This window comes from Homo sapiens, chromosome 21 (assembly GCF_000001405.40).
Source record: "Homo sapiens chromosome 21, GRCh38.p14 Primary Assembly".
Classification (NCBI taxonomy): Eukaryota; Metazoa; Chordata; class Mammalia; order Primates; family Hominidae; genus Homo; species Homo sapiens.
In genome coordinates this window covers 28,744,198-28,766,947 of record NC_000021.9, presented here as the reverse complement: position 1 = coordinate 28,766,947, position 22,750 = coordinate 28,744,198, and the positions used below count along the sequence as shown (strand labels likewise).

At 39.6% G+C, this 22,750-nt stretch overlaps 1 protein-coding gene across 1 annotated transcript in view, besides 1 other annotated feature; it reads left to right on the top strand.

Moving 5' to 3' along the window:
• HEMK2 (HemK methyltransferase 2, ETF1 glutamine and histone H4 lysine) overlaps positions 1-22,750 on the top strand; it is a 309,770-nt gene that overhangs the window by 118,420 nt on the left and 168,600 nt on the right. The window lies entirely within an intron of this gene.
• Positions 21,248-21,337: an enhancer, noted in NCBI's record as "active region_18322". NCBI's record gives its function as "activates an Ori minimal core promoter by ATAC-STARR-seq in GM12878 lymphoblastoid cells {active_cell/tissue: GM12878}" and the evidence as "EXISTENCE:reporter gene assay evidence [ECO:0000049][PMID:35858748]".

Genomic DNA, 22,750 nt, shown 5'->3' with positions numbered 1-22,750 from the left:
AGCAGTTACTTCTGAGATTTTAGTCCACCCATTGCCCAAGCAGTGTACAGTATAACCAATACATAGTCTTTTATCCCTCACCCCCTCCCAACCTTCTCATCCCTGAGTCCCTAAAGTCCGTTATATTGTTCTTATGCCTTTGTGTCCTCATAACTTAGCTCCCACTTATAAGTGAGAACATACAATATTTTGTTTTCTATTTCTGAGTTACTTAAGATAGTGGCCTCCAGCTCTCTTCAAGTTGTTGCAAAAGACATTATTTCCTTCCTTTTTATGGCTGAGTAGTATTCCATGGTGTATATATACCGTATTTTCTTTATCTATTCGTTGGTTGATGGGCATTTAGGTCGGTTCCATATCTTTGCAGCTATGAACTGTGCTGCCTTAAACATGAGTGTGCATGTGTCTTTTTCATATAATGTCTTCTTTTCCTTTGGGTAGATAGCCAGTAGTGTGATTGCTGGATTAAATGATAGTTCTACTTTTAGTTCTTTAAGGCATCTCATACTGTTTTCCATAGTGGTTGAACTAATTTACACTCCCACCAGCAGTATAAAAGTGTTCCCTTTTCACCGTATCCATGCCAATATCTATTGTTTTTTGACTTTTTAATTATGGCCATTCTTTTTTAAAAAAAAAAAATCATTATACTTTAAGTTCTAGGGTACATGTCCACAATGTGCAGGTTTGTTACATGGGTATACATGTGCCATGTTGGTTTGCTGCACCCATCAACTCATCATTTACATTAGGTATTTCTCCTAACACTATCCCTCCCCCAGTCCTCCAACCCCCAACAGGCCCTGGTGTGTGATGTTCACCTCCCTGTGTCCATGTGTTCTCATTGTTCAATTCCTGCTTATGAGTGAGAACATGTGGTGTTTGTTTTTCTGTCCTTGTGATACTTTGCTGAGAATGATGGTTTCCAGCTTCATCCATGTCCCTGCAAAGGACATGAACTCATTCTTTTTTATGGCTGCATAGTATTCCATGGTGTATATGTGAATTATGGCCATTCTTGCAGGAGTATGGTGGTATCTCATTGTGGTTTTAATTTGCATTTCCCTGTTGATTAATAATGTTGAACATTTGCAAATCATGGCTCTTTAGCTAGTCATTACTCACACTTGGCTTTCTCAAATTTCTCCTGAAGCTCAAGTGTGAGGGAAATGGAGCTCACAGCACCAAATATTTCCTTCTGTTTGGAGGTTGATTCTGACCTACAGGGGCACAGTAAGACTTGTCAAGTTATTCCTCATATCTGGCTATTACCAGGGTCTCTCTTATCACTCACCCAAGGAATTGTGTGTCGGTGGAAACTTTTTGGCTGATTTGGTAGCCTGTATTTCAAAAAGGCAATGACAAATCCAATAATTTGCAAACCACATGGTTTATTGGTTTAAAAGTATTCAATATAAATAGCAAAATTCTTAGGACTAAAAGCCAGTAAGTCAATACAAGATTATAGTTAGCGTATTATTTAGCTATTGCTGTGTAACAATATTAGCACACACTTAGTAGCTTAAAACAACACACATTTATCATCTCACCTTTAGCAGTTTAAACCAACACACACTTATTAGTTTCTGTACATCCGGAGTTTGAGTGTACCATAGCTGGCTCTTCTAGTCCTTGGCTTCATGAGGCTGAAACCATAATGTTAAATGGAGCTGCAGTCTCACCTGAAACTCAATTGGGGAAGGATCTGCTTCCAAGCTCATGTGGTCGTTGGTAGAATTCAGTTCCTTGTGGCACGTTAGGTTGAGGGCCTCCATTTCTTGCTGGTTGTTAGCTGGAGGTCACTCTTTCTTCTCAACATACCCACTTGCTCCCTCAGAGGCCATAAGGGTGAAACTTTGCTTGCAAGAAAGACATTAGAATCTTATGTAATGTAATTACATATATTCTATCAACTTCATCATACTCAGTTGGTTAGAAGCAAGTCACAGGTCCTGCCTACACTCAAGGGGAGAGCATCACACAAGAGATTAAATGCCAGTAGGATATTTTGAATATCAGGTGGGTCAAGGGGACAATTTATAGTATGTCTTGACAGTTAGCAATACTGAAAAACTAGTAATACTCATGTCCAGAATTAGAAGTAAATGTAGCTGTCATTATACATTTATGATTTGCTGAAATACCTAGTGGAAGGAGGTGAAATAATCACATTACCTGATTTCTGGCCACTGAGAGTGGTTGAGCCTGTCTCCCTCTCTTTCCTGACAGCTGCAGCCTTAAGTTATAAAAAAGGAGTTATCAACTTGCATCTGTGAGTTCTAGGAGGGGGCAATACTGGATAGGAAATCAGATGCCCTCGCTATTCTCTCCTGAAGATGCTGAGTGCAACTGATAGACTGCCAAAGGGACATGCTTCTTTATCTTTTATAGGACGTTTGTGCTCTCTGTGTATATCCTGATAAGACATAAGTGTGCTAGAAGTAAAACAGGTTTCATTGTAGCTTTTTTTTCTGTCTCCTATATTCCTTGTTTATTATAAGGGGCGTTCTTGTTATCATCTTCTTTTGCTGATTTTTTGGGCCTCTGTGGAAATATTTCTTCCTCAAATTCTCTCTTGTCTTAGCAGCTTCTGCCTCACTTTAAAATTTTTATTTAAACTCACTCTAACCACTCTTTTCCACATAGCAAATATGAATGCACAACAACTTGCAGATACAGTTTGTCCTGCTGACACAACTCCCAGACTTGGATATTAGACTACCTGCTGGGTATTTCTACTTGGCTATCTTAGGTTGGCTAAGTACCCAGTAACAGACTCTAAGATAAGGATTTGAGTGTAAATAGTTTATGTGGGAAGTGCTTCCAGGAAACAGCAGCAGGGAGTAGGGAGGTGAGTTAGGAAAAAAAGAGAAAACTATTAAAGAGTGTGATGCTAAGTAGGTCACTGCTGTGTACAGCTGAGGTTTGGTTCTGCCAGGGGGACACTATGCAACATGCTTCAGAGTTGTTGTGCCTGCTCCTATCCCAGGATGAGGAAGCTGGAGTTTTCAGTCACGGTTGAGGACTGCTTCTAGGGATACATTAACTCCCTAGTCTGCTCCATGTGGTCCATGTGGGCTACAATGGCCAGAGATCACCTCAGGAAGAGAGTAGTTGGTGTTGGCAGTCAAACGAGTTGGTTTGGAAGCACCAATCACATCTGCTTAAGTGCACCTCACTGTGTCTCCTGAAAAGAACATGGTCATAGTCATCAGCTCATTCCCTTTTATGATGACATAGCTTCCCCTTTAACAACTCTGTCTGTCAAGCATTTCCACACCTCCATCACTTAGGCTTGAGTTTACTGGGTTATCCTCATTCTTCTGATAAGACTGCTGAGGCTGAGAATGTTCACGTGTGATATAGTTGGGATGTCCGTCCCCTCCAAATCTCATGTTGAAATGTGATTCACACTGTTGGAGGTGGGGCCTGGTGGGAAGTCGCTGGATCGTGGGGTCTGATCTCATGAAGAGCTTAGCACCATCCCCTTGGTGATGAGTGAGTTCACGCAAGAGCTGATTGTTTAAAAGAGCCTGACCTCCTCCTCTTGCTCTCTCTCTTGCTTCCTCTCTCACCATATGACATGCTTGTTCCTGCTTCAGCTTCCATCATAAGTAAAAGCTCTCTGAGGCCTCACCAGAAGTGAGAAGATGCCAGTGCCATGCTTGTACAGCATGCAGAACCATAAGCCAATTAAACCTCTTTTCTTTATAAATTACCCAGCCTCAGGTATTTCTTTATAGCAAAACGATGGACTAATACAGAGTGACTTACCCAATGTCCCATGACAAGTAAATGACAGAGTTTTGCACTACTCTACATAGCAAGGGTGTCCCATTGGTGGAAAAGGGCTGAAGCAGGTTTGTGTGCAGAAGCTTTTACCTTGTGAAGTCAGATGATCTAACCTGAGGCAATAGGAGTCACAGTCCAGTGCCATTTTTCTCTGGGCTTCCTGTTTCCGAATTTCCTGTTTCCCCTAAGCTGAAATTGGTTCGCTAGCTCTCTGTAGTTACATAGATAATTTAATAAGCCTACTGAATCTTTGTCCCATGTCTTAGTCCATTCTCTTTTGCTATAACACCATATGACGGATGGAGTAATTTATAAAGAAAAGAAGTTTATTCAGCTCACAGTTCTAAAGGCTGGGAAGAGCATGGCACCTGCACTTGGTGAAGGCCTTCATGCTGCATCATAACATGGTAGAAGGGGAAAGATGAAGAAAAACAGAGCCAAGGGAATTTGCTTTTAAAACAAAGCCACTCCTGCAATAATAAACCCGCTGCAGTGATAGCAACATTATTCCACTACTCCTTTCATGAGGGCAAAGAGATTAGGTTTCCAACACATAAACTTTTGTGGGGCACATTAAAACCATTGCAGCTTGCTACCAATTCCATTTAGTTCTGGAACATTAGTCAAAGTACATACTCTCTCTGGAGTTAATTTTTCACATTCAGTGATTTTTGGTGACCCTTTCAACCCCAACAATGTGAGACAGGTGAGAGAGGCCTTGTTTTTATAGTGGGCTGGATATAAATAAATAAGGTGAGACTCAGCTTTATTTGTTTTTAATGTAGACCATGGTTTGGATAACCTTCATATGTCAAGCAGAAAATATTGTAGGCATTTAAAAAATATCCATGGGTATGTTCTTTGTTTCCTTGTGCAAGCCTTTAAAGGATTACAGGAATAGCAAGTGATGTGGGTAACTTGGGCCAATAATGGTATTAATAAATGCTGTGAAACATAATGTGCTAGAGACAGCATCTCCAGGAGTCAACACCCAGGCAGCATTCCTCTCTTCTTGTGTGAATTTCTGCAGGTTGTCAGCAATCTGAGGGCAACGTCTTTTCTTAGGGAAAGCTAAGATATTCAGATTTACCCCAGAGTGGGTATCAAATTATCTGTGGGTGTAAGGAATACACAATGGTAGAGATTTTATTCCTAATGAGCAGAGACTGGAAACACATTTGGAAGTATATCATGATGTTTCTTTTCCTACCTCAGTCTAGTGATCTCATTGGGTTGAATTCTCTGTGGTTTGGCTTCAAACTCTTTTCATTCCAATCTTCGTCTTTTCAATTTGCTGCCCCATTTTATGGTCTACATCTTTCCTTCAAAGATCCTGCTGCTTTTCATCTTCTTGATGCCTCATCATTTATTCAACCTGTTGCGTGCCTTCTCTGTGTCTTCCCTCCATTTCATTTTATAAGGCATTTTAGTGCATTGTATGTGGCAAATGGGGGAGGAGACAGAATGAAGAGAGACCAGTAACCCTTCCCAGGCCAGTTTATACAGTTTTCCTAAGGCTTCCCATATATTTAATACTAAATTGAAAAAAAAAAAAAGCTTTGTAGAGCAGATAGAGAAACTGAGACACCGAGTGAAGAAAGGACTCAGTCTGAGTTATGTGACACAGGTAACCAAGGGAATAAACTTCAGGTCATCCGATTTTTACTGTAATCTATGATACAATGAGATGCCTCCTTTCTCTACAGCAGGGTTGGCAAATTTTGACTCATGGGCCAAATCCTGCTCAACACAGGTCCTTGCAATTAAAAATATTTTTAATATTAATTTTTTGGCTTTACTTTTAAACATTTTGGATAATTTCTTACTCACAGAAAAGTTTTTAAAATAGTGTAAAATAATGAAATAAACACATGCATATATATATTTTTTTCGCTGAATTGTTAAAAAGTAAGTTGCAAATATGGTGCCCATTTATACCTAAATTCTTCAGGGTCCATTTCTTATGAACTGATTCTTGAAGGACATAGATGATTCAAAAAACCTCAGTCAATAAGTTTCAGCTAACTTATATTTGTTGAACATCACATTTTTCAAAAATAATCATATACTGGGCCATAAAAGAAGTCCCCTCAGAACAAAGCAAAACAGTAATAAAATCACTGGAATTATTTTTTTCTGATTATGTATAATTTAAGGTGAAAATAAATAATAACATAAACTCAATAATAAATGAATAGATCTATGACAAAAGGTAAATCTGTATATGTTTGAAAGGGAAAGACTGGATTATCCCCGAATAAAGTAGAAAGAAACAATAAACACACAGTAGAAATTATTGAAATAGAAAACAAATGTGAAACAGAATGAAGACCAAATGTTGGCTTTGTCAAAACACTGTTAATTCAGTGTATATCTGGCAGGATTGGACTTTGATCAAAAACACAAATTACCCATGTCAAAAATGAAGGGGCCATCATAAGATGGGACAGTGTACAAAATAAATGACTATCCTCTAAAAATATCAATGTCATAAATATAAAGAATGATACGGAAAGTGTTCAAGATTAAAGGGAACCAAAGAGTTATGTTGAGTTAATGCTATATGTGATATTGGATATTATTTTGTAACTAATGGATACAGTCAAAACAATTTACAAAATTTATAGGAAGTCTGTAATCTGTATAAAAGTTTCTTTTCCAGTGTTAATGTCCTTGGTACCTGGGTTGTGCAATTAAATTTTTAACAGAATACAGACATAACTGTTTAGGTATTGTCTATGTCTGCTTTCACATTGTCACTGCAGCAAAGATCACATGTGCCACAAAGCCTAAAATTTTACTCTATAGCCATTTATGGAAAAAGTTTGTTGAATCTAGAAAGTGATGAAGGCCTTGATATAGCATGGGCTTGATATTCCTGATAATTGACTCTAGAAATATGCTGCAAAGCCTAATTGAAACTTTCAGAGATCACCAAAAATCTCATCCATCTACAGGGATTTCCTTTTCAATCATCCTTCTCACCCTGAGAGTTGGGAGTTGTTATTGTACCCTCTTCTTCACAGTCAAGATAGAAGCAGTAAGATGCCTTGGACAATTGCTGCATTGTGAGATTTTATACATTTGGTGTGGTACTTTGTACTGTAAGGAAAGAAGTCCAGAAAATATCCCACAAGTGATGGCAATTCAGTCCTTGTTCAGTTTTAGTGCAGGACACAGATCCCAGGCAGGACCAGTTACATAATTTGTCATGTTCAGTGTGTAGTAAACTGTTTTGACACTGCTGATAAAGACATATCCGAGACTGGGTAATTTATAAAGAAAAAGAGGTTTAAGGGACTCACAGTTCCACGTGGCTGGGGAGGCCTCACAATCATGGTGGAAGGCGAAAGGCATGTCCTACATGGTGGCAGACAAGAGAGAATGAAAGCCAAGTAAAAGAGGAAATCCCTTACAAAACCATCAGATCTCATGAGACTTATTCACTATCATTAGAACAGTGTGGGGGAAACTGCCCCATGATTCAGTTATCTCCCATTGGGTCCTTCCCACAACATGTGAGAATTATGGGAGCTACAATTCAAGATGAGATTCCACCCCCGGCCCCTCCCAAATCTCATGTCCTCACATTTCAGAATCAATCATGCCTTCTCAACAGTCCCACCAAGTCTTAACTAATTTTAGCATTAACTCAAAAGTCCACAGTCCAAAGTCATACCAAAGACAAGGCAAGTCCCTTCTGCCGATGAGCCTGTAAAATCAAAAGCAAGTTAGTTACATTTTAGAGACAGTGGGGGTACAGGCATTGGGAAATACAGCTGTTCCAAATGGGAGAAATTGGCCAAAACAAAGGGACTACAGGCCCCATGCAAGTCTGAAATCCAGTGGGGCAGTCAAATCGTAAAGCTCCAAAATGAGCTCCTTTGACTCCATGTCTCACATCCAGGTCACACTGATGCAAGAGGTGGGTTCCCATGCCCTTGGGCACAGTGCAAGATGAAAATGCTGGGATCTTGCTAATAAACTGTCAAGAATTTTAAGATGGTAGCAGCTGAGCATTAAACCAAGTGCAGGACCCACTGGAGCACAGAGCCTTGTGCAAATGCACAGATTGCATGCCCAGAAAGCTGGCCCTGATCCTAGGACTTTGGATCTCAAAGGGACATCAGAGGGCACCTATCCATTTATTGTGACAATTGCATTTTGAAAACCAGCTATGCCAGACTACTCAGCTGACTACCAGGAGTGAGAGTGCAGCAGACATTGGTAGCCCTGGAGAGGGGCCGCAGCAGGCATACATACTTCTCTAACTTGGAATGAATTGCTGGATTGTGTACTTTCTGGATCTAAAAAGCCTATCTAGATCCACAAATCACTGAGCTCCAGCCTATTCACCAGCTTCCCCTGGTACCTGGAAGTTATTTTTAGGTAACCTGTCATGGGGAGGTTTGACATGTTATTTTCATGCCTGAGGATCGGGTTTCATGGGAAGTGTTCCAAAGAATTTAATACAATGCAACACACATATTATTAAGAGCACGTTGGTTTTATTCTTGTTGCCTTACTATTAAGAATTTCTCTTCTTAGTCATCTTCTCTTCTGCTCGTTGCCCTTCCTAACTTAGTTTTCTCCAACTTCATAGTTCTCTCTTGTGCCAGTTGCTGAGCTCCTCACTGCCACACGGATTTCCTTTCCCTCATCTGCTGCCAACTCCTCTGGTTCTCTGCGATGGATGAGTTAGTGTTGTGACCAACTTCCTTTTTGTCTTTTCCAGATTCCTTTCTACTTTTACTCCTTTGCTATGATCATATTTGCCTCTTAATTTCTAGTTCTTAAGTCCAAAAATTGACTTTCTCTTTTTGTCCCGCCCAACATGATTGCACAGAGCAACTCATTCTTAATCATGGCTCCTGCCTTTCTTGTTCTGTTGTTTTCTTGGCCTCCTATTCAGTCTTCCATCTACACTAGAATACTAAGGTGTCAGCAAATAACTGACCAGCTAGTCTGCATGCCTTAGCTCCTTCATTTTTGTCTTAGGATCACAATCTAGCTGTATTTAATCTTCCTTCTTCTTAGAATCTTACTTAGTTTATTTGTCCAACTCTTCCATATGGCTAAGAGGAAAATCATCCGTTATACATCCTCTGCCCCTAAAGTAAAAAGAATTACTGAGAATGCATATTTAAAATGAATCTCAAAGCAAATTTTCATTTATAATAAACAATTGAAAGCAATTGAGATCTTTACTCAGTTTACTGAGAAAATGATGGAATGGAGAAATTCATTCCTAATGCATAGCCTTATCTGCTGTATTTCCTCTGGTTGCAGTCTGTCTCTTATACCCAGGAAAAGCTCCTGAACAAACTCTGTTTCTGCTGTCCCAGAATGCCCTCCTCACACTCCTTCATGGAAACCCCCTCTTGGCCTTACGTCTACGCTTATCCTAGTCAGTACTGTTATCCACTCTTTTGTCCTGACCAACTCAATTCTTTCTTCTGGCCCTGCAGTCTTTAGGGAATTCTGTTTTGTTCTATCTGCTGTCGATTGTTGTGTAGCAAACTACCCTGCAACTTCTCATCTGCAGACAACAGTGATTTAACAACAACAAATTTAAACAACAAAGTTAAATTAAACAATTTAAAACTAACACATCTGTATTTGGGCAGGGGAGTTCCTTTGTTGTCTTTACCTGGGCTTACTCATGCAGCTGCATTTGGCCAGAGGGTCCACTGGGATCTCGGCTGCTGCTATCATTGATTCTGTTCAGCAGACAGAGGAATGGGGCAGGCAGGAATGAGAAAATCTAACATATATTTCTTTAAGGAAACAAACTAAAATTTGTTTCCCTTTCATCTTTTCCTCCATTCTGCTCCCATGGTATGAAATATTCTTATAAATACATAAAAATGTGCCAATTGGTTTTATTATTTAAAAAATTTAACCATAATTGGGTTCTCTTCATTCCTGTCATTTAGTTTGAATCACTTACATGATACCTGAATTAAGCATGGATGACACCTTATAAATAGATCGACTTAGAGTGTGCTGGCATAATTTGATATTCCTAATACTGTACGGTGTAGCATCTTTACTATAGAAAATATTTAATAGACATTTGCTGAATAAATTAATGCAAGAATAGCAGTATGTGTAGTAGAGTTCAAAGCAATACTAACTATCCAGGCTATTCCATGTACAACATGATGAAACTAAAATATTGTATTTGCAATGAATGATAGAACAAAAGTTATTAAGTGAATTATTTACCATAAGTAGAAAATAGCATTGATTACATCAATCTTAGACACCCTTCTTGAGAAAAAGCTATCTAAGTCAGAACATTGTCTAGATGCTGAAGGAGACTTCTGAATAGTTTTACATGATATTGCTGTTGGAAGTTTTGGTTTCTTATGTTAATTTCATGTCAAAATGTAAAAATTCTCCTTTCTTATTTATAGCAGGTGAACCATTAGTACTATTGTTTTACCCTAGAAGGACAAAGTGTTTGGGAATCAAGAGGCCTTGGTTTGTAGACCTGTTCTTTCACTTACTAGCTAAACTCTCTGGCAAAAGGCACTTGTCTTCTCTGTAAATTGTGATAAGTGATATCTATCTCACAAGGTTGTTTGGAGAATCAAGTGAAATGATACATATTTAATGTGTTTTATAATACAAGGTGAGACTCAAATAGGAGCTAAAGAATAAAATAAATTTTTGGTTTATGGTTGGAATGGATGGAGATTTTCCTGAGATCATTTTCTACATGGAATGAAGTAGAGAGTGAAGTGTGAAAAAAGGCCGCCTGAAGTGACAGTAAATGGCTAGAGGGTGGGGAAAGACAGAAAAACTGGGCACATGGTATATGCATGATCTGCCTCTGTAGGAAGGTGCAGTGAGGAAGAGATTGGAAGTTAAACCACTAAGTGGTTTAGCCATCAGTGGTGCTGTTGGCTAAGGTTGGTTGGTTGTGACATTAGGTGGCCCCAGGGTAGACAGATGCACAGTTCATAGGGAATGCATGGTTGAACAACTCACCTGTTGCTCGGAAAAACAAAGTATATCTGTGGCCACTGGTAATGAACCAAATGCCAGAACTGGCCTTGTGTCTGTCTTCTTGAGTTAGGGAGTTATGGAGAACACTCATGAAAACTGTGCCGATGATCAGAAGTTACTTGACTTCAGCTGCTACAATTCTGGCCTTAGAAATGTGAAAATTGGGCTCACACATATATTTTAATGTTTGGTTCAATATACCTTTTGTGCTAGAATATATCCTTTATTTCTAGCTCTTCTTCGTGCATATAGGTATAAGGGTATATGCATATAGGCATCTGGGTATAAGAGAGAGACTGCAATCCATCAGTAGATTGACCAGTCCTGTTCTCTCACACACAGAAATGGCGTTGCTCTTATTTCTGTCTTATTAGGCATTTCTCAGGCACAATTTTCATCGCCTCATACCTGTGTAGACAGTGAGCACTGAGTAACTGTTTGTTGAATGGCTATGCAGTAGCACCTGGCTGGCTCTATCTGGTAGTGTCATAACTTGGCAATCAGTCTTCCTCACAATTGCTAGACAATTATTCTTTAAGTATCAGTTTACAGGTAAACATAAAGGTGATTCCTGAGCAAGCCTTCCAGAGCTCTTCCCACAGAAGATAGACATCACACCTCTTGTATTTACTCCCACAAACTCTATGGTAGAAACATAAGTTGCAGCTTCTTGGTCAATCTGTAATGAGAGGGAGCTACCTAAACTAAAACCCAGGACAAAGAGTACATCAGTTGCTGAAAAAGGAAGAATTGCTATAAGGTGGCGTGCCTAGAGTGTGTTTGTGTGTACATGTACGTGGTGGACACACATGTTTTTAACATGTTCAACAAATGAGGATTAAGCCTTGCCTCCCTCCGGCCTAATTTATCACTCTTGTGGCTTTGGCAGTTTCACAGAAATGATACCCTTCCTTTTGTTTAGAGTCTACCGCACTGTAGTACATTTTCTAGGTGCCATTAGCCTTCTCATTTTGGAAAAATCCTATCCCTGGTGATGATGAAGACCTCTGAAGACCTCACACGAATTCTTCTACTGCCCTGGACTTCCCATCTCTGCACACACCCATGCTGCTGCCTTTGCCTAGAGCACTCCTCAGCTCTGCCTGGCCAACTCTATCTACTCTGAAAGGCCCACATCAAAATGCCACAACCCTCAAGAAGCCTTTGCCAGTTCTTAGCAGAAAATTAATTCCTCCCTTGTCCGTTTCTCCCTAGCTCTTGCTTCTTGCCTCTTCTAAAGCCTGGATCACAGTTTGCCTTGCCCAGAGCAGCTCATTCTCAGGAAAGGTCTTAACGCTTTTCTTATTGCAGGCACATTAAAAATAAGAACAGTTTTTTATTTGACCTTATAGTCCCTGTTAAGCCCAACAAAGTGCCTTGTGTATAATAGGCTCTCAATAATTATTTGTTAAATAAATTATATTACATTTTATAAATGTTTACAAAGGAGAGATCATTGCCTTACATGGTTTACAAAAAAAAATTCTGTTGAGATAAAAATAGACAAACAACAAGAATTTAAGCTGAAGGGTTACTTCTTACACAATGAGGTTGTGTCGTTTTGGATATTTGGAACGCCTCTCAGAATTTCCGCTTCCTAAAGAGCCTGCTGCTCTAGCATTTTGCCCACATGCTAAAAGGCATCAGAATAGATTTTGATAAAACAGAATATTTTTAGGCATTGTAATCAGCCTCACTCTGCCAAATTCCTGGCCTTTGGTATGTGCTGCTGAGTAATGTCAGACCCTCACACGTACACACACTGACATTTACAAGGCACGAGGTAGGCTCCGCCAAGTTCAGAACAAAGCCCCCCTGTTGATTGGTTCACCAGAACTTTCTCAGATGCATTTATTGTTTGCTACTGGAGGAACTGACAGTCTGCTGGTACCGATTGAATTTCCATTCTTTTCTTCACTTCCATTCTTCTCTTCACTCGGGGAAGTGAAGTTGTGGACTCATGAGGTTATATACTCAACTGTGCGAGGGGGCCCTTGGGCCTCTCTGGCATTGACACTGATGGAAGCTACACATAGGAGTGGGGCTGCATTAGATCTTTCTGGTATGAGATTTGTAGAAATGAAAATGAACAGGGCTTCACTCCAAACACGTACTGAATGATCTTAGAAAGTTCCTTCCTGAAAAAATACTTTTACCTAAAAAGACAAAAACAGATGAAAAGAGAGCATTATTTTATTATTGCACGCCATGAAAAAGCCAGAGTATATTTAGTAACCTTTGGAATTCCACTGCCTTTTTAGATGGAGGAGCATCCCAAAAAAGGAGACAGGAGGGCATTGCGTGTGCACGTGTGTTTGAAAGGACCAAATCTCTATCTAGACAAAAATAGTAGATAGGTAGGTTATAGAAAAGAATTTCATAAAACTAAGCAGAATAAATTCTTTTTCCGAAATAGTGCTGTTTTGTGAAAGGTGTTTCTTTTCACATTACTGTATATGGCTAACTCTCAGATTTGTAAATGGCTACCCTTAGAGATGAAGTTACTGCTGAGGATTCAAATCACCTGCCTTAAAAGCTGAGGTAGGATTTATGATGTACTGGGCATTATTTTCTCTTTAGGGGCATCCTTTCTTCAATGATGATTGAGAATGTCAATCCTTCTGCTCCCATAATGACCCTGGGAGTTAGGGGTGAACTCTGGGAGGTGCCAGATGATCTATTCTGGCCATATGCAAGAAAGCACATGCTCTAGTATTGCAGGCACTAAGGATTCTGGAAAAATGTAAACATGTGCGTTACCTTCTACTTTTTTTTTTTTTTTTTTGAGACAGAGTCTCACTGTGTTGCCCAGGCTGGAGTGCAGTGGTGCAATCTCAGTTCACTGCGACTTCTGCCTCCTGGGTTTGAGCGATTCTCCTGCCTCCGCCTCCCAAGTAGCTGGGATTACAGGTACGTGCCACCATGCCTGGCTAATTTTGTTATTTTTAGTGGAGATGGGGTTTCACCATATTGGCCACGCTGGTCTCCAACTCCTGACCTTAAGTGCTTCACCCATCTTGGCCTTCCAAAGTGTACCTTCTACTTCTTAACCCTGGAGAACCATTCTTGCTTAAGAGCCATCGCACCAAGGCATCACCACAGCCTCATTTCCATAGCAGGGACTGCAGAACTTAACAATAATGGTTCTTCAGGGGTAAGAAGAACCATTCGTGGTTCATGATGCCAAGCACGAATGGAGAAGGATGGGCTCACTGTGCACACAGGCCATCCGTTGATACCTGCCCCACATCCCCATGGGCCTCTGCCGTGGCCCTCTGTGTCATGACAGTGGGGTGCTCCTGGCTTCACCCTTTGCATTGTAACAACAATAATATCTTACATTTTGTAGTGCTTCTGCTTTTCAAGAGGCATGTAGAGCTGGCTTTATCCCTTTCTCTCTCATTTCTGCCCCCATCCGATGAGGACGTGGTGCAGAGACTTGCTAAGGACACAAGGCTGGGAAAAGACTGAGTTGAGAGTGGTCCCTGTTCTCCTGATGGCTAACCCAGGGCTCTGTTCGCTGTGTGTGGACACTCAGTATCCACAGCTGGAAGGGTCTGTCTTTAGGTGAGATTGAAGCATTTCCATTTTTTTATGACAGTGGAAGAAAACATATACTATATTGCAAGAATAATAGTATTCAAGACATGACTATGGAAGAAGCATCAAGATTATCATAGGGCATTTCTATGTCTCTGAGGTATGTTGGAAGCCAGGCTCACATACCTTGATTAGAAACGTCTTAGAAGGACTTTATGATGTGCTCCGTCAAGTGAGGTACTACTAACTGGAATGACAGCTGTTTGTTTGGTCCTTTGGACTATCCTGGGATCAGTTGATTCACTCTCTGGTTATTATGATGACCAGATAACCAGATGATGATGCTCCTTCCAGTTATTTTGATTTTCTGTTTGTTTAGCTCTGTAAGATTGGACTTTGTTTGGTTTGGGGACAATTAGTCTATTCACTGGCAAACAGGAATTGAGAAAATGTACATTAAAAACTGGTTTCATGACTTTCACATGATACTTTAATTTTAGAGATTTTAAAACTTAAGTGGGAACCAGAGACTAATCCAATTGTTTTTAGACAGTGAAAGGGTTTTATGTTCTGTTCAATTTATTCTTTCCCAATTTCTTGTCTATAAAACAAACATTTTTTTTTTCTTTTCTTAAAAATAAATCTTGGCCAGGCATGGTGGCTCATGCCTGTAATCCTAGCACTTTGGGAGGCTGAGGCGGGTGACCAGCCTGTGACCAATATGGAGAAACCCCATCTCTACTAAAAATACAAAATTAGCTGGACGTAATGGCATATGCCTGTAATCCCAGCTACTCAAGAGGCTGAGGCAGGAGAATCGTTTGAACCCAGGAGGCAGAGGTTGCGGTGAGCCGAGATCATGCCATTGCACTCCAGCTTGGACAACAAGAGCAAAACTCTGTCTCAAAAACAAACAAACAAACAAAAAACTTTTGCTTATGGTGGTTCTGAACAAAACGTAGATGTTAAAAATTGGCTTTGAAATTTTTCTGTCTAAATCTTCATTTGCAACATCTCTTCTGCCCTTAACTAACTGCTGGTTTTAGACACACGATTTCAAAAAGAAAATGAAAAAAATTCTGGTCTACTTCTGGAATAACCCACAGTGGAGTTTTTAATCTGCACATGGTACATGCTCTGACATTAATCTTCCTCTGTTTAAATTCTAAGCTCAACAAAGTTACTTTGAACAGTAGATATGTTTCCAAGCAACATTCAGAATGATAGTGGGTTCTTTTCAAGATCATTTAGGAAGAATTCATGCAGTTGATAAGAAACCCACACCCCTTAGAAGTATTAGGTAGTGAGTAACTTAGGATCTCTCTGTGTCATGAAAGTGAACTAATGTATCTTTTTTTTTTTTTTTTCATTGAGACAGAGTGTTGCTCTGTCACCCAGGCTGGAGTGCAGTGGCGTGATCTCGGCTCACTGCAAGCTCCGCCTCCCGGGTTCACACCATTCTCCTGCCTCAGCCTCCCGAGTAGCTGGGACTACAGGTGCTCGCCACCACGCCCGGCTAATTTTTTGTATTTTTCATAGAGACGGGGTTTCACCTTGTTAGCCAGGATGGTCTTGATTTCCTGGACCTTGTGATCCGCCCGCCTCGGCCTCCCAAAGTGCTGAGATTACAGGCGTGAGCCACCGCACCTGGCCGAACTAATGTATCTTAATGCTCTCTGAAGTTTCTAAACATGGCGAGTGGAGAAGAGATGGCTGAAAGGTTCTGTATCACAACATTTTAGGCCCAACTGCATTTCTGTTGCCAACAATTCTTTCTTTCATTTTTGTGAAAGACTGAACCAGGTTGTAGAGTTGGCTGTGTCACTAATGAACTGCATGAGCCTGGGAATATTGCTTAACTTCTCTGAGACTTTGTTTGCCTTTTTTTTTTTTTTTTTTTTGAGATGGAGCCTTGCTCTGTCACCCAGGAGGGAGTGCAACGGTGCGATCTCTGCTCACTGCAACCTCTACCTCCTGGGTTCAAGTGATTCTCCTGCCTCAGCCTCCTGAGTAGCTGGGATTACAGGTGTGTATCACCACATCCAGCTAGTTTTTATATTTTTTTAGTAGAGATGGAGCTTCACCATGTTGGCCAGGCTGTTCTCGAACTCCTGGCCTCAAGCGATCTGCCTGCCTTGGCCTCCCAGAGTGTTGGGATTACAGGTATGAGTCACCGCTCCCAGCTGAGACTTTGTTTTCTACTCTGTGAAATGGGTTTGGCCTAGTTGACATCTATGGTTATTTCTGAAGTTATTAAATTATTAAACTGTGTGTCTGTACTGGGATGTTCTACACTGTGGTCTTAGAATAGATTACTTACAGCTAAAAATTAAATATGATGAGGGAACCTAATTTCATATTTAGAAGATTTTTCTCCTCAAATCTCATTCTATAGGATATTCATGTGTTTCTCTTTTCTTAATTTAACCTAATATATGCCTGGGTTTCTACATATATTAGTGTATTTATTCACTGTGTTGTGAGTACTGTTGGTTAGTCTACTCTCTGTGTATTTCAGAAGCATTTACTCAGCTATTAGTCCTAAACTTCAAGATGAGTGACTTGTCTGCTTCTTGTAAAAGCATTGGCCTGTTCAATTAGATTGGTGAAAATAGCAATGACAAAACAACTGACTTAATAACGGATTATTTTTATTTTTCAACTAGTGGTTTTGGCATGTCAATCCAGTTTGCTGTCCTTTTAGAGAATATGCCAGTTTTTGGAAGTGAATGTCAACATTACATGGCTGTAGACACTCCTCTGATGTTCTCGTAAGAGATACCCTATCTCTCTCTGGTTATGTTCATTTTAATTTCTTACAGACTGATCTGTTAAATTGGCCGAGAGCCATGTCCTCTTAGCCTTCAATTGCAGTGCTCATCCTGCTCCTGAAATTGCTATCCTCCTGTGCTGTGAGCAAAGACCATGTTAAAACAGATTGCCTTTTAGAGGATCATACTCTGACGATCAAGTTCAAGGTCACCAAGTGCTGAACAGTATCAGTATTCACACTTCTTGATTGGATTCTTGCACATTTAAAAAAGTGACAGGGCTGTTAGGAATTTTGTATGGAATTTTGGCTGTGTGTCCTTCATGGCAGAAAACAAGTTTATACTTTCAAATTATCTTAAGATGGGCAGGTACTTTGGATCCTCTGACTTTGAGGTAATCATTTCAACTTTCTCTACCTCAATCTCCTCCTCTAAAAATGGGATAATAATAGTATTTACCACATAAGTTCTTATGAGAATTAAATGAGTTAATTTGAGCATGGAACAATGCTTGGCCCATATAACATAGTAACAATATAAGTTGTGCTATTAGGATTATAAAGACATATATGTATATATAATGATTTTCACTACTGAGAAGAAAATCATCTCCTTGTTCCTAGTCATATTCATAGTCTCATAAAGTTTTAGGGTTCCAAGAAATCATAAAGGGAGGGTAGTCCACTCTTTTGGCCAATGCTGGAATCTCCTACAAATATTATAGCTACATTAGGAGGTAGAGCAAACTCGTACAGCAGAATGCAGCTCACCACTGGTTAGCTAAATTAACTCTGCTTCTGGGGATCTAAGGAGCCATGTCTCCAAGGTCTGATAATATGTTAAACCCAGATCTTAAAAGTATGTGATGTTTATTGGGCAATAATATTTATCAAGAATCTAGATCAATTTGCTCAAATATGGGTCAGTTGGTGGGACACATATCCCCGTGAGTTTGGTAATATGAATAGTTCAGCTGACCTCCAAGTCTTTGGAGAAAGCAAACTAGAAAATGGAAATTCTCTAAAAGTTCTAAGGAACAGGGCAGGAATATTACCAATCTTTGTAATCTCTCTCTGACAATGGAAAGATGAACCAATTTTTAAAATGAAGATTAGCTCCATATAATTGATAATGGTGCATGTTTTCCCAGAAGATGGAATATTTATTTCCATGTCTCTGTTTCCTGTTCATGTATGCTTTGTCCCAAATCCTTTTGGTTTCCTGGAATTTTCTTTAGAAAACCCAGATATCACAGCAATAATCCCCAAACCTCACAGACTCCTTCAAAAGTAACTTGAGGGAAAGAATCAAGCCCAAGTGGTTCAATACTTGATGGAAACTTGTGTGAAGAGCAATGTCACTGCCAAATGAAAAAGAACTTACTCCAACCTACCATGTTTATTTAAAAGCAGTATGATACTTTTGTTATCTAGAAGACTTTTTAAACTGAACTCATAATTATTTTTTACCAAGGTATAGTAAAAGGTGAATATCATTATTAATTTATATTCTTATGCTTCTGTTTTAAAAATAATTTCAATGTTTATTTTACATTTTTCAATGTTCATTGTAGATTCAGGTGGTACATGTGCAGGTTTGCTACATGACTGTATTGTGTGATGCTGAGACTTGGGGTTTGAATGATCCTGTCACCCAGGTAGTGAGCATGGTAGCCAATAGGTAGCTTTTCAGCCCTTGCTCCTGTCCCTCTCTCCTCACTCTAGTAGTCCTCAGCATCGTTACCATCTTTATGTTCATGCATACACAATACTGAGCTCCCTCTTAGAAGTGTGAATATGTGGTATTTGCTGTTCTGTTCCTGTGTTAATTCATTTAGGAAATGCCTCCAGCTGCATCCACGTTGAGAAGAGAATGTCAACATTACACAGCCATAGACGCTCCTCTGATGTTCTCATAAGAGATACCCTATCTCTCTCTGGTTATGTTCCTTTTAATTTCTTACAGACTGATCAGTTAAATTGGCCAAGAGCCATTTCCTCTTAGCCTTCAATTGCAGTGCTCATCCTGCTTCTGAAAGCACCTTGTTGCAAAGGATAAGATGTCCTATCCATGTTGGTGCAAAGGATAAGATTTCCTATGCACGTTGGTGCAAAGGATACAATTTTGTTTTCTTTTTATGGCTGCATAGTATTCCATGGTATATGTGTACCACATTTATCTAGAGGAATTTTGACTCCTAACATTTTCAGGATTATGTAACATAAAAGTCCATTTTAAACAGGTAGTGGGGTAGGAGTATTGGAACTCTGAAAGATAACTTCATCTTCACTTCTGGACATTTCCTTTGAGGGTTGAATAGAACTATTTTGTTTTCCTCTGCACAGGATCCCCCAAATTAATTTTCATATGTATTTTCATCATTAGCCATTGGCTTGGAAGGTTTTAAAGTCATTCTGTGTCAACTTCAATTAAATCCCACGAGACTCAGAGAAACTGATCTGGCAGGAACCTGCTCCTGCATTTTTACAGATAAGTACATTAGGGCTCCATGAGGTCCAATAGCTGGACTGCGGTCAAACAGGAAGACAGAATGGGCTCCTCCATCCGGGCCTTGCAGGACAACTCTAGATTTGCTTCTCGCCACCCAGAAACTTTCTCCTCCCAGGTCATAGCAATTCCCATATCTAAGTATGACTTTCAGTTCATCTTTTCCCTTCTGTTCCACATTGAAAACATCAGGTACACCTGTAGACTCCATGGCCACAACAAACCTGGATCTTCTAGATCTGTCCATTTCCATTGCTAGTCAAAGGTGGTGTCTCTTGAGCCTCTATATTGCACGTGATTTCTCACTAGGTATCTTGCTTCTACGTTCTCTGCACCATAAATTCCTGTCTCCATGGAGCAGCCGGAGTGATCTTTTTGATAGTCTCAGAGCCTTTTAAGAACTTCTCTTCCCACCTGGTAAAAAACCTCATTGCACAGCCCTGGCTTATCAAGCCCTCCATGCTGTGGCTGTGTTTGGCTCTCAGCCCTCCCTCTTCCACCCTCTCCCTTCCCTTCTCACCCCTGCCAATGGCCTTATTTGTGTTCTTCAAGTATGTTGAAATGCTTCCCTTCTCAAAGTTTTTGCACTAGCTCTTCATATCTTTCTGGAATGTTCTCCATAGATCATCATATAGTTTTTTTTTTTTTTTAGATTGGCCCTACTTTAATAGCAACTCTTCTTGGACCACTCAATGTATGATAGCCTCTCAGTCACTTTCTATCACGTCACCCTATTTTGATTTCCAGTATAGTTATACATTTTATAAGCTACATTTATCACTCATATATTCCCTTAAAAATATTTATTTTCCGTTGCTCATCTCCCTACCTGCACACATGGTCGTGAGCAAAGAACTTGCTTGTCCTACTGATCTCTGCATTCTCAGTGCTCGGTGATATTTGTTGAATGAATGCAGGGCAATGCTATGTCTATGCTTTATGTCATTATCTTCTGACTCACTGCAAAGACAGGAGTCCCCCACGGGCAAGGAACATACTAAGAGTAGTATGTACCTCATGTTGTTATTGAGACATTTCAAAACATGTAAACATATTTACAGTGATGAAGTATACAGAATACTGCCTGCCACAGAAAAAGCTCCAAATAAATATCAGCTGTTGTTACTGTAGGATGTATACATATTTTTATTTATATTCATATAGTTTTGTTATACATATAAAACAAAACGTTTTATCAGTTTTTATTACTTACACATGTCTACATTATATATGGTGTTAGCTATTGTTATTCTGTTATTTGATAGAGTATCCAATAAAATATGTTACAAGATTTTGCTAAATACCATAAACTAAATGCCGACCACTTTTTTCTCACCTGGCTCTATTTCAGGATTCAGCCAGGTTTCTCTGTCTGGGAGTGTTAATGTTTCTTAGCTAAGCAGCTGCAGTATCTGCGGTTACTGAAATCGTCCTGAAGGTGGCAGCGGAGAGCTAAGGTTTGGAAAGTGCTCACATGTTCTTGTATACATGCTGGGATAGGATTTGAAGGGGGTGAGAAAAGTTATTCCATGGGGCTGTTTTTGCATCTTCAAAATTCCTTTCATCATTATTATTGTTGGGAAGGGGTGTGTTATATGTCGGGAAGCTGCTCAAATGCAAATGATATCTGGGAAGTGGCAGCCAGCTATTATTCATGAAACCTCAGGCAACGTGAGAGCATTAGAGCATTCATCCAGATGCAGGAAAGTGGAACTGCTGGTGAGGTGAGATAGAGGGCAGGTAAAGGGAAGAAAAGGGCTTGGTTTTGGATGGGCGTTTTCTTGGTTCCGAGGACTTCTTGATCTGTGGAGAGGGGTACAGGCAGGAGAGGTCAAAGCTGAGCCCTCTAACTGACGGGGCCAGGGCAGGGCCCCTCTCGTCCGGGTCTAAGGCAGTAAACTCCTGGAACAATCTCATACAACATCCATCTGCTTGTTTAAATAACAAGCCGATTCTATCATGTCTATGTGTACAAATCAGACTCTCTGGGGAGTAAGTATGTGAAAGGAGACTGGAAATATCGTTAACGATTTTCAGACATTTTCTCCAACTAAATCTGAAATACTGCATACTGACCACGAGATGACAGTATTGCACCACTAAATGCTTACACCACAAGCTTCCATCTTGTAAGCTCTTAGAGATCTAACACAAAATCACTGTGCTTCCCACTCGCAGCAGTCATTGGAATTATGCTTATAAACAGCAATTTTTCTTTATTTGCACTTTTTCCATAAATGAGGAATACATTTTTTGCCAATAGTGGCTACTGTATGTATACTTCGGTTATTGTCTTGGGAAAATGGGTGTTGAAAAAATTGAATTGTCTGTGACTCTACACATTTTATAATTCAAAATTTGTGAATAAAATTAATCAGCATGTGAGTTAAAGTGCAGTATTCCTTCAGCTAGAACTGCAAGACCAAAAAAACCCCATAAAAGTGTTTGGTTTATAATTTACTGTTTTTAATTTATGGTCTATAGTAAGATTTTCTAAAAGCATGAAACAGAATGGTTCTAACATATGGTTTTATATAGTTTACATATTTATAACCATGTTTATCTAAAATAGCTCTCTGTAATGCATTTATGTGGTTGAAGAGTTTGAAAAGGTGATTATCAAATGAAATAATGTATGTAAAATACCCAGCTCAAGCCTCACACATGGCAGGAATCATAATAAATAGAGGCTCTTGTTTCCTTTATTAAGAAGAAATCATAAATTAGTGGATAAGTGCAAAAATCCTTTGCTACTATGAAACAGGAGAGGCCAAACAGTGAGATATCATAGAGTGAGTTGCCTCTTATGCCTTTCTAGTTGAGTAGTCAGAGAATGAAAAACTACTTAAGGTTCTACCCTTCCACAGACACTGCAGATGAAAGTGTTCGGCAATTAACCATGAATGACTTTCAGGAACAGCAAATCCATGCTTTTCTATTTTACTCAACTTGGATTACATCTGTAGTGCAAATTTAAAAGAACACTTCTGGGGACAGTTTTTCCCAGGATCTATTTATTGTCTCATTTTTTTCTTTTTTTAATTGTTAATTTATTTTATTTTTGTAAAATATTTTAATGTTTATTTTAGGTTCAGGAGTACATGTGCAGGTTTGTTATATAGGTA